The 12828-nt window shown below is 39.6% G+C and overlaps 1 protein-coding gene across 20 annotated transcripts in view; it reads left to right on the forward strand.

Annotated features, from left to right (window-relative positions):
• The window catches only part of PLCB4 (phospholipase C beta 4), a 412131-nt gene that overhangs the window by 363310 nt on the left and 35993 nt on the right, over positions 1-12828 (forward strand). For all 20 annotated transcript variants that reach the window (XM_024451898.2, NM_001377134.2, XM_005260724.3 and 17 more), the window contains 4 exons: positions 3573-3661; positions 5015-5165; positions 11994-12043; positions 12191-12256. In XM_024451898.2, the coding sequence (XP_024307666.1) occupies positions 3573-3661; positions 5015-5165; positions 11994-12043; positions 12191-12256 (356 nt within the window). The remainder of the gene's footprint in view (positions 1-3572; positions 3662-5014; positions 5166-11993; positions 12044-12190; positions 12257-12828) is intronic.

Genomic DNA, 12828 nt, shown 5'->3' on the forward strand with positions numbered 1-12828 from the left:
TAAGATATTCCTAAATTCATCTTTTTATAGAAAAGTTGAAAGCCCATCTAAGTATCTACCAGTGGGGAATAGTTTGATATAGAAAATCAATGTGACATTTCCCATTTACTAAAAATAATTTTCAGAACTATGCCGATATAATATATGCATCAATGAAAATGCAGGTTATATAACTTCTAATAAACCATGGAAAATATGTATTCATGTGCAAAAATGACACAAAAATATACAAAAATGCTTGGTTAGGATAGATGGATCATTTAATATCTTGCTTTATTGATTCTTTAATGTCTTGCTTTATTGATTCTGTAACTTGTTTTAAGTAATTAAAGTATTATCTGTTATTCCTATGGAAAAGACTACCAGTTACTCCTCAAAAATGCCATATACTCTCTTCAGGCCCCCAGACTGATTATATGTTATTAAAAATTAGCGAGTATTTGTTTCCTAACCACCCAGTCCTGTGTGTTATCACTGAAATGTGCCATTGGGATTGGATGCTTGGCAAAACATATCTGAAGTGAGAATGTACAGAGAAGCATAGACCAAGTATATCTCCTCCAAAGAAGGGCAGAAAAGTTTAATGGATACAAGTTAAACCTCACTCTGCCTCATAATGGTGTGGACAAGTGGCAAGAAGAGGCATTTGGGAGTCAGGCACAAAGAGTTGTGCTAAAAGTCTAGGTTGGTCAAATTGTGTCTTCATGTGCTGAAGGACCTTAATCATGCCCACTTCATGGCATCCTGATGACGATGAGAAAGCCATGTGGTTCTCCTAACACAGCATCACCTCATGGTTGACCAGTGACCACAGGGCAGAAGGATGCTGAGTAGAAAGACATGAATTGGCATCAGAGGAGTCTTCTGAACATTGCATTTCCTCTCTAAGCAATGGAGGTAGACCCTGTGTCTCCTCCAGACACTACTGACTGAAGAGAGATGTCAGCACCATCAGCACCACTAAAAGTAATGTTGGGAGCCAAAGTATTGCCATGAGAATCACCGAATTGTTGTGAAGAGAGATAGCAGCAGTATGAATGCAGAGATCGAGTTGCCACCTCCTGCAAGCACCTCTAAAAGTAATGTTGGGAGCCAAAGTATTGCCATGAGAATCACCGAATTGCTGTGAAGAGAGATAGCAGCAGTATGAATGCAGAGATGGAGTTGCCACCTCCTGCAAGCTGCCACCTCCTGAGCCTACTTGAGGAACTTAGCGTCACAAATGGGACAACCAGCCTTTATGTCCCTCAATGTGATGCATATAAAGTCACAGCACCTCCTAGAAGTATCCTTAAAGAAAGATGTCAAGAGGGATTGCTTTAGACTAAAATTGACTTAAGAGACATAATTATCAGAGACATAGTGTGAAATCTGGTACCTTGATTCAAGCAATGTAACTATAAATAGGGGAAATATTAAGATGGGCTGTGTATTATATCATAGTAAAGAATTACGCCAATTTTGTTGGATATAGCATTGGGATGGTTGGCTCCAAATTAAATTTAGAGCTGCAGAGACAAGTTATTAGGAATTAAATGTTCTGATATATGGAATTCACCTTAAAATATTTCAATAGAGAGGAAAGAGAAAAAATGAAAGGAATATAAAGGAAATGTGGCAAACAAATGTTTATAATTGTTGGGTTATCATCATAAATATATGAGGGGTTATTGTACTGTTCTCTCCACTTTTGTGTATACTTGAAATGTTTTGTAACAAAGAGTTTAAAATATATAAATAAATTCCTAGAATATTAACTTGCCAAAAATAATTGTCTGTGATTTTTTTTTCCTGAGCAAGATTTAAGAACTAATTTTTCCACAGCTGTTGTTGAGAGGCAAAGAGTTCTTAGGGATCATGGGTGATAAAAACAGACCTTCTCACATGCCACTGGTGGGAGAATAAATTGATGCAATTTCGGTGGAGTGCAATTTGGCAATAACTACCATAGGACAAATACTCTTACCCATCATTCTAACTTCTAAGAATCTATTCTGTAAATATATGTAGAGGTATGCTACGAAATGTTCAAAGACATTCACTACAATACTTTAATAGCAAAGAACTGGAAGGACAAGCTGTCTACCAATAGGAACTGGTTAAAGAAATTATCACCATTCAGAGAATGGAAAGTTTAAGCAACCCTTATAATTAATGTATTAGAGCTATATTGCCAATATGAGAATGTTTCCCAAGATATTTGACATTAAAAAATGGTGCAGAAAACTATGAACCCATTTGGAGTTTTAAAAAATATCAGAAAGGATACAAGAAATGGATAATAATAGTTACCTTCTGGGCGTAGGATTGGCAGGAGAGAAAGTTTTCACTTTTCATTTTATATATTTGAATGTTTACCATGTGCAGATGTTATTTTATTTTATTTGTTTATTATTATTTTTTTCTGAGACGGAGTCTCACTCTGTCACCCAGCCTGGAGTACATTGGCACGATCTCTGCTCACTGCAACCTCCGCCTCCTGGGTTCAAGTGACTCTCCTGCCTCAGCTTCTCAAGTAGCTGAGATTACAGGCATGCGCCACCAAGCCCAGCTAATTTTTGTATTTTTAGTAAAGACGGGGTTTCACCATGTTGCCTAGGCTGGTCTTGAACTCGTGACCTCAGGTGATCCACCCTTCTCGTGTTCCCAAAGTACTGGGATTACCGGCGTGAGCTACTGCGTCCGGCCAACCATGTGCAAATGTTATTTTCTGTTATAAAAAGGAAAAGAAAAAAAAATTGAAACCTAGAGAATTATGTGCCCCGTGTACTGAGAATGTTATCTTAAGAATTATCCTAAGATTGTAATTAGGAAGGCGATTCTGTTAGGGAAAACTTTATAAACTTACACAGTATTTAAAATGTATAAATTATGGATGGTTTCAAGTTAACAAGAATAATTTTGCCTTCTATAGTATGAGTAAATTGTGCACGATTATATGAAACTCTGAAAGTACTTGGAAATCTTCAAATGGCATTAATATAAAATATTAAATTCTACTATCTTTTAAGTTCAAGTTATACCTGAGAAAACACTAGAGAAAGATTTCATTTTGTCTACCATGGAACCAAAATTGGCTTTGAATATGTATTATCCTTCTGTATCGAAAAATAAGACCTACCTGCCTCAGGTACTTTTTGTGTTCATCATCTCATTGAATTATCATGATTATTCTGCAGGGCAGGTGGTATCCACCCTAATTTCCAGATAAAGAAACTGAGGCTGGGGACATTAATCAACTTGCTGAAAGTCACACACAAGTGAAGAAACAGTCTAGAACCCACACACTTCACTCAGTTTGTCCTGACACTTTGCCTCCTTCATATCAGGAAAAACTTTGTATCAGGAAAAACTAAATAAAAAAATCATCTGGTCTTTGGCCCTTGCTTTTAACTCCTTTCTTGTTTTCTGCAACTAGCTGTGCCTTCCTCAGTGTGTCTTATGTCCTAGGAAAAGATTATTAACAGAAAGCACAACAGGTATCCAGGATTGTAGTTTATTAAGCAGAGTTTTAATGAATATTTTCAGTAAAACAGAGAATTAACGGCTCATTGGGTTTTTTTTTCCCCTAGATATCGTGGATGCTTTATCAGATCCAAAGAAATTTCTCTCAATTACAGAAAAGAGAGCAGACCAAATGAGAGCTATGGGCATTGAAACTGTAAGTAGAAATGGTTGATTAAAGGTGGCCAAGTTGTGGGAGTTTGATTATCAAACAGTGTTTACAAAAACAAGACAAAGTAATGAATTAGCAAATTTAAGGAGGGTTTTTAAAACTGAGCTCATCAATTCAACAATAGTTAACTTTCTACAAAAGTGTGGCATGTTTAATAAAATGTGACTGCCATCAGAAAAATCCACTTCATCATCAGTGGCTTAACTCACATCTGGGGACCCCTTCCCCATTAGAAAGAAAATGCAAAACATTTGTTATACTTTTGGGAAAGTTTAAAATGTAGGTGGAGCATTTCTAATCAGAAAAATGCAACATCCGAAAAGTTCCAAAATTCAAAACCTTTTGAGTGCTGACATTGGATAGTCATACCTTTGCTTTTTGAAGTTTCACTGTACATAAACTTTCTTTCATGAACAAAATTACTAAAAATATTGTATAAAATTACCTTCAGGCTGTGTATAAGTTGTATATAAAACATAAATGAATTTTCTGTTTAGACTTGGGTCCCATCCCCAGGATACCTCATTATGTATATGTAAATGTTCCAAAATCTGATATCCAAAACATTTCTGGTCTCAAGCATTTCAGATAAGGGATATTCAAACTGTACTGTACAGGATGTTTCTATGATACACTGAAATACCAGTTAACCTAGTTCAGTGAATTAATGATAATTGCTTTTTATTTTTAATTATTTATTTTTTAACAGATAGGATCTCGCTCTGTTTCCCAGGCTGGAGTGCAGTAGTGTGATCATAGCTGACTATAAACTTAAACTTCTGGGCTCAAGCCATCCTTCCACCTCAGCCTCCTCAGCAGTTGGGACTACAGATGCATGCCACTGTGCCTGGCTAATTTTTTTACTTTTTTTGTCAAGACAGGGTCTCACTCTGTTGCCTAGGTTGGTGTCAAACTCTTGGCCTCAAGCAATCCTCCCACCTTGACCTGCCAAAGCATTGAAATTACTGGCGTGAGCCACCATGCCCAGCCAAAATGGCGTTTATTATTGATTTTTCACTGTTTGCCAGCCTTACATCCCAACCTTCTCCCATTCCAGTGCACACGTGGATTGTTTCTTTGTTTTTAAATGTTCTCTTTACCAGACTCCTCAGTTTGGAATGGATGTAGCATCTCTCCAATAGCTAGAAAAAGAGAAAGTATTCTCTGCTTGTTAAGAAGTTGGATCTTCTTTCCTTGGCTGGATCCTTTGCCTTTAAGAGAGTAGAAGTCTAGGAAGAGTATGGTAGAAGTTTACTGGATTCAGTAAAATAAAGAATGTACAAGATATTTGACCTTGAGTGACATTCATTTGGGTCAATGTAAATGTTTCTGTTCCAGAGTGACATAGCCGACGTGCCCAGTGACACTTCCAAAAATGACAAGAAAGGAAAGGCCAACACCGCCAAAGCAAATGTGACCCCTCAGAGTAGCTCTGAGCTCAGACCAACCACCACGGCTGCCCTGGCCTCTGGTGTGGAAGCCAAGAAAGGTGAGAGAGAGCCGTTGGGTTCCTTATCTTCTGCACCCACCTTAATTACACAGTGTACAATATCTATAGCTTTAGGAAATATATAAATTCGAAGTTCTTTGTGGGAAAGAACCTTTTACATAGTGATGTTAACTAATTCATCCCCACTCTCTTCCAGACCCTCCCATAGGTAGTTACCTGGACAGGCCGTGGGCTCATGAACCAACATAGTTATTCCTATTGGACATTTCTAAATTCTCATACTGATAATTTTCCCTCATAAGTAGAAACATGATTATTTGTTTGTAAAATTATCAAATGAGCACTTGAAGGCCAATTCCATGTGCTTACCTGTAGATGAAACAAAAGATCATTAAGAGGTGGCATCACAAAGAATCACGTGTCTCATATTCAGCCAGTATGTAGGGAAACAACTGTGCTGGTTATTTTAATTGGTTTCCATATGAATTGGCCAGACATCCATTGATTGGATGGTGCCCATTCCATACTGGAGGGAAAGTGGGCAGGGAGAATGCTGATAGGGAGTGGCAAGGAGTTCATTTTTCTTGTTCTGGAAAGAATTCTGGGGTCATCCTGAGAAGGTCATGGGAAATGAGTCAAAGGAGTATTTGAAGAAAATTATAGTCTTGGCAGAAGAATTCATTGAAAGTGGGCATGCTAAGGGCAAGGTAAGAATTATGATACTCATGCTTCTGTTATAACACACCTATCACATTGTGTTAATAAAGTATTAACAACCAGAGAAAGAGGTCATTGCAGATGAGACCACACCTCATCATCAGTGTGTCCCTGGAACCATGCCTAGTTAAAATCTAGTAGTCTATTTTCTCAGGAAGTAAAGCGCTGTTTAATGAATGATAGGGGCAAGGAAATCTAGATTAAGTTGGAAATTGTCAAAAGGAAGGAAGAATAGAAATAAGTTGGCAGCTTGAGGCCAGGTGCAGTGGCTCATGCCTGTAATCCCAGCACTTTGAGAGGCCGAAGCGGGCAGATCATGAGGTCAGGAGATCGAGACCATCCTGGCTAACATGTTGAAACCCCGTCTCTACTAAAAATACAAAAAATTAGCCAGGCATGGTGGCGAGCCCCTGTAGTCCCAGCTGCTCAGGAGGCTGAGGCAGGAGAATGGCGTGAGCCCGGGAGGCGGAGCTTGCAGTGAGCTGAGATAGCGCCACTGCAGTCCGGCCTGGGTGAAAGAGGGAGACTATATCTTAAAAAAAAAAAAAAAAAAGAAAGAAAGAAATAAGTTGGCAGCTTTGATATGGGCCTTAGGCAGAAAGGGGCTTTTTGGTAACTCAGACTTCAAGGACAGATCCCAGAGATAGATTGTACCATTGAGAGAAGTAGAGGAGTTAGGAGGAGGAGCTGCTTTTGGTAAGGAAGATGATTTTGGTTCTGTATATCACTGAGGACAAGCTGTTGCTGATACATCTGGGCAGAAATATGCAATTACCAAATCTATATCAGGTGGAGAAGAAGAAGGAGGGACAGAGAAACAGAATAAGAATACTTAGAAGGCAGAATGAATGGGGAAAAAAGAGAAAAGAGAGATCTATGTTCTAAGAAGAATTAGTTTTGAGAAGATGCTGTAGACAAGTCCAGAGAAGTGAAGACTACAAAATTATAGTTGAACCAGGGGTGATTGGATGATGAAGGTAGAAACATGGTTAAAAAAATGTGAGACATAATTTAAGACATAAAATGGTTGTTCTGGAGGACAGTAGCATGTTGGTAGGAACTAATAAAGAAAAACAAGGAAAATGCAAAAGAGAGTACATGGTAAAACAAGGCTATAAGGAAGATCTGAATCAACAGAAAGGGTGAAATTCAGCTGGATAAGGAAGGAAGAGATATGTTCTGTCTGAGCTAAGAAGAATGATGAGTGAATAGAAGTTTCAGGATAGACAGGAAGAATTCTTGACAGACGGTGTATCAGTCAGCTTATGCTGCATAACAAATGACCTCAAATTTTAGTAGCTTAAGACAACCACCATTTATTGAGATCATGTTTCATTGGGTTGGTTGGTCTAAGCTGGCTTGGCTAATCTCTGTGTCTTGCTTATGCACCTGTGATCAGCTGATAGGTTGACTGGAAGGTAGATGTGGGATGACCTTATGCACACATCTGTCATTTGGCAAGTTGTTTCACATTATCCTGAAGCCTGAGCAGGCTTGTTCATATGGTACTCCCTGAGTTTAAAGAGCAGCCCTTTTCCAGCCTCTGCTAGTCTCCCATTGGCTACAGCAGGTCACAAAGTGAACCAATATTCAAGGGGTAGAGAAATAGACTCTACCTCTTGATTAGAGGAGAAAGAAATAGTGGTCATTTTTGTAGTATAACACAGATAGATTTTATCTGATCTAAGAAGTTGGTTAGGTGGCTGCTCTCTGCTGAGAAACGTAGAGGTAGAACTGAAAAACAGCAGTATAGAAAAGCTTTGGAGTTGCCCCTGGCTGGAATAGAATGATCCACAGGAAATAAGGAGAAGGTCTGCCACATAGCACACAGGACCCTGGTGAGGGTTGGTGGTGTGTACTAAGTTGATGTAGCTTGATCTCATTACTTCTTCAGCAGTGCCCAGAAACTCAGCAACAACTGTGGACAAAGTACAGCTTAGGGAGTTGCAAGCCTGAAATTATCACAATTTATATGGTCTGGGACCAAAAGTTTGAAGACCATTAAGTTATGACACTGTAACAGTTGGCTATTGATGTGTAACAAGCAATCACAAAAGTCAGTAATTTAAATAAGTAAGCATCTATTATAGCTCATGAGGTTGTCTGGGTGGCTTTTCTGGTTATGGGAGGATTAGTATCAGTGACTCAGCTGATCTTAGCTATGCTTATTCAAATGTTTGGGGTTCAGCTAAAGTGTCATTGGCTGGGACAAGTGGGCTGTCTTCCTTGTGGACTCTCATCTTTCATCAGCTTAGCCTGGGCTTGTTCACATGGTAGTTGCAGTGTTCTAAAATGGAGGTGAAAGTACAGATGCTCCTTGACTTATGACAGAGTTACATCCTCATAAGCTGAACATATCATTAAGTCAAAAATGTGTTTAATATCTAAGCTACCGAACATCATAGCTTAGCTTAGTCTAGCCTATTTTAAATGTGCTCAGAACACCTACATTAGTCTACAGTTGGGCAAAATCATCTAACACAAAGCCTATTTTATAATAAAGTGTTAAATATTTCGTGTAACTTATTAAATGCAGTACAGTGTAGAGTATACAGCTGATTGGGAGCTGAGGCTTGCTGCAGCCCCAGCGCATATCCCTAGCTTAGGAAAAGATCAAAATTCACAATTCAACATATGCTCTCTACTGAATGCATATCACTTTTGCTTCATCACAAAGTTGAACCACTGTAAGTTGAACCATCTGTATGTCAGGTTCCTTGATGAGTCCTAGACTTAGAACTGGCATGGCATCCTTTCCACTACATTCTGTCATCCCAAGCAAGTCACATGGCCCAGCTCAGATTCAAGAGTTGGGGAAACAGATTCCACATATTGATGGGAGAAATTCCAAAGTCACATGTAAGTAGGTGTGGAAACAGGGAGGGGTGGAATTTTTTGGCCATTTTTGCACTCAGTCTGCCACCCTGATCATAATATATAGGTTAATGTTCCAGTGGGGTAGATACTAGAGGAGAGAGACTTTTCTAGGAAAGGAAAAGGTTAAAGGGAACCAGGAACAAGATGAAAGTAAAAAGCTTGCTTGGTAGGTGTGAGGGAGTGAGTGAAGTTGGCAGGATGGAGATTGCAGTCAGAAAGAGGTTACTCTAAGCTACTTGTCTTGGAGGAAGGGCAGTTTCAAGCAGTGTTAACATCCCGTTTACAACTGTCAGTGGGAGGTGAGGTAAAGTAGAGATGAAGATTTCTAGAATGGAAGGCATCATGAAAACAGAAAGAAAAGTCACTCAGCACATTCTTCTCATGCATATTGAATCACTGTGTTGGACGTCTGGGAATGCCTGCATAGGAAAACCACAATTCAGATATGAAGTTCATGGGGCCGGGCAGTGTGTGACCTAAAAGGACACATGTGGAGGTAGTTAGGCTCAGCAGAGCCTGGTGTAAGTGAGAGGTCTGTTCTTTTGTATGATAGTTTTTAGGAGAATGGCATGGAAGTACAAGAGAGAAGTCTATAGGTGTTCTTCCCACGCCTCTCCATGGATTGGGGTGGGGTGGGGAATAAACTCTACTCCAGGAGCCTTTGGGGGAAGTGATGTCATTTGAGAAAGCAAGCCTCCATTTCTTTCCAGAAAACTGTCTTAATTTGAGTCACCCCAAAGACCCTGAGAGAAGGCTTCCAGTGCAAGTAGTTTATTCTGGGAGGCAGTGGACATGGATAGAGATGTGAAGAAGTGACACCAGGGAGGGAAGGCAGCCAGTAATTAGAATGTTTTAAAGCCAGTTGCCAGTAGGCACCTGGAACTTAATGCCCTGGAGAAACTCTGGGGGCTGGTATTGGACATACTTCTCAGAGGTCTCCTCTTAGAGGGATGAGGGAGCTGGGGAATGTATACCCTGACTCCTGTCAGCCTTTTCTTGAGGGTTCCCGTGGAAGGGATAAATTCTCGGCATTCAGACGCTGGCAATTGGAAGTGAACTAGAAGAGCTGATGTAGAGAGGGCATAGTGTGTGGCTGGAGCAGACGGCATTTGCTGCAGACCTCTATGAAGGTGGGGAGGTGTGAAATTCCAAACTGTTTTTCTTAGACATTCAGCCAAACAGCAACAACTGCACCAACACGACTTTTTTTTTTTTTTCTGATTTTAAGAACAAAGGATTAAGAACACCCAGCTCCTAACTTCCAGATTAGCAATTAAGAGAAAACAAGTTATTGTTAAGGAACTATGCTGATATGAACAAAAACTTTATGTAGTGAAACTTCAATTAGCTAAAACCCAAAATGTGCTGCCTAACCTACTTTCATACCAGGGAAGCCTGTAGACCTGCACAGTCCTATATAGTAGCCACTAACCACATGGGGCTACCACTAACCACATAGGGCTATTTGAATTTATTTAACAATTAACTTAAAAGTTAAACCTTGAGTTCCTCATTCACACTAGCCACATTTCAGGTGCTCAAGAGCCACAGATGGCTAGAGGCCGTCAGTTGGACAGACCCACGCATGGAACATTCCCATTATTGTGCAAAGCTCTATGAGGAAGGCTGTTCTTGGCACGCAGATGGAACTGTCCTCTTCTGTAGAGTGTGGTTTTTTTTTTTCTAACTAAATCACTTATGGGAATCAACATTTTTACAAATTGTGTCTTTCCCCCAAAACACAAAACCAGGTAGTTGAGGGAAGTTTATGTTTTTGTAGGTTCCTTTTAATCAAGACTTAGTTGAACCAAGACAAAAAGAAAATAAAAATTGAGAGAGAGAGTGTAAGTTTCATCAGACTGGGTCAAACTCAGAATTTGCTAGATCTCTGGAGGACCTTGCATACTCCCCAAATCCTGTATGTTCATTTTACAGATGAGAGAGCTGAGGCCTAAAGACAGGGAGCTCTTTGTGTGCCAGGAGTCACTCCCTTGCCTTACCCTGCCTCAGTCACTAGAGAGACAGCTTGTGAAAGCCAACTTAGGAGATCAGTAGAGAGCCCCATGGACCCTTTATACCCCGATCATAAAATGTTACAGATCACAAGGCTGATTTCCCTCAGCCAAAACTTTCCTTCTGCGGCCTGACCACCCTATCATTGAATGTGCACATCTTAAAATGAATAAAAGGGAAAAACAAGAGCCTGGGACTTGATGCCTATCTTTCTTGAATATATCATACCTAGCCTTTGGGATTCTAATGGAAATCAATTACAGCACAGAGTACACATTCATTTTGTTTGCCTAAGATGAAAATCTGCAGTCAAACAGAAACTGTTTGAGGATCTGGCTACAACTGTTGTTGCCATGACAACACCTGGCCTAGCATCACTCAGATAGCAGGATGACTTAGTGTATTACCCTAGCTCCTCCTGGTATGCTCCTGTTATACACTGGTTTGATTTTATTATTTCCTGTATGTTTAAGGCATTGCTGTGCTCAATAGCACATTGCTTAAATGCTAAGATTGAATTTGGTAAAAGGGAGAAGCCAGAAAAAAATGTTTTATTCTTTCACAATGACTGAATTGAGAATAGAGTTGGGAATTAGTTGACTGGCATGATATGCCTTGAAATACAAAGGTAAGAATAAGGATAATAGATACTTTTGTGCCTGATCAGCTCCCCTTTATGGGTTCACTATCCCATCTCACAGCTCCTATGAATTTTGGCTGATTGGGCATTTCAGCTGCCCTTCTCCATAGAATTGCCCTGGGACCATGAGAGTTCCCTTGCCTGAAAGGTTTTGTGAAACCTCTGTAGCACTCAGCTGATTGATCCAGGGTTACAAATGCCCAGCCTCTTTTTGCCAAGGTGGAATGACTCTTGGGTGCCATTTGTACTGAAGAGCTCCCTGCAGGATCAGACTGAGGCTGGATTTCTACTGGAAACACACCCTACCTTGTTCCTCTGCCCTGCTCCACTTCTTTCATTCCCTTAGGGGTTTCTCCTGAGAGTCTGCCCTCAATCAATCACTTGCACATGAATCCCCTTCTCAGGCTCTGCTTGTAGGAAACCTGACCTAAGTTAAGACATTCAACATTTCAATTGTCCAGTTAATTGCTTTGTAATAGGAACTTAAGATGTTTATATTCATCATATGTAAAGCTGCTTCAAAGTCTTTCGATGAGATTTCGATATGTCAGTTCTATATTACCAGTTATTCTCTCTGATTTTTAGTATACATAGTGACTTAATTTTTTTTGTTTGTTTAGGTATTGAACTTATCCCTCAAGTAAGGATAGAAGACTTAAAGCAGATGAAGGTAAAATTGCTTGACTATTTTGCAAGCACTCTTGTATTACACATATTGGTGACACCAATATATTTTTGTTTCTCACCAAGTGTAATCATTGTGATTACAAAAAGAAAAAACAAAAAACCTATTTTTGATTCTATTTTTCTCCCAAAGGCTTACTTGAAGCATTTAAAGAAACAGCAGAAGGAGCTAAATTCTTTAAAGAAGAAACATGCAAAGGTACAGTGCTCTACAGCTACTATTTTGTGTTATGTATGGATGAATCATTTGTAGCCAAAAACACTACTTTGAAGCTGATACCAGACCACTTAACAGTAATAACTCATTCTAACTGGTTAACAATGAAATTAAAAAATAGAATCGGTTTGGGAGTGCTTGTCACTTGTTTGTAGTCTGCATTTCTAACAATTCTTTCAAATGCATAACAAAGCTTCATCCATTTAAAAATTGTTTCACTAGGCCGGGCACAGTGGCTCACGCCTGTAATCCCAGCACTTTGGGAGGCCAAGGTGGGTAGAATAGGATGTCAGGAGTTTGAGACCAGCCTGACCAACATGGTAAAACCTGTCTCTACTAAAAATACAAAAATTAGCTGGGTGTGGTGACATACCCCTGTAATCCCAGCTACTCAGGAGGCTGAGGCAGGAGAATCGCTTTAACCCGGGAGGCAGAGGTTGCAGTGAGCTGAGATCGTGCCATTGCATTCCAGTGTAGGTGATAGAGTAAGACTCCATCTCAAAAAAAAAGAAAAATTATTTCACTAATAACATGACTATATAAAATATTGAAGA

Source organism: Homo sapiens, chromosome 20 (genome assembly GCF_000001405.40).
Source record: "Homo sapiens chromosome 20, GRCh38.p14 Primary Assembly".
NCBI classification, from domain to species: Eukaryota; Metazoa; Chordata; class Mammalia; order Primates; family Hominidae; genus Homo; species Homo sapiens.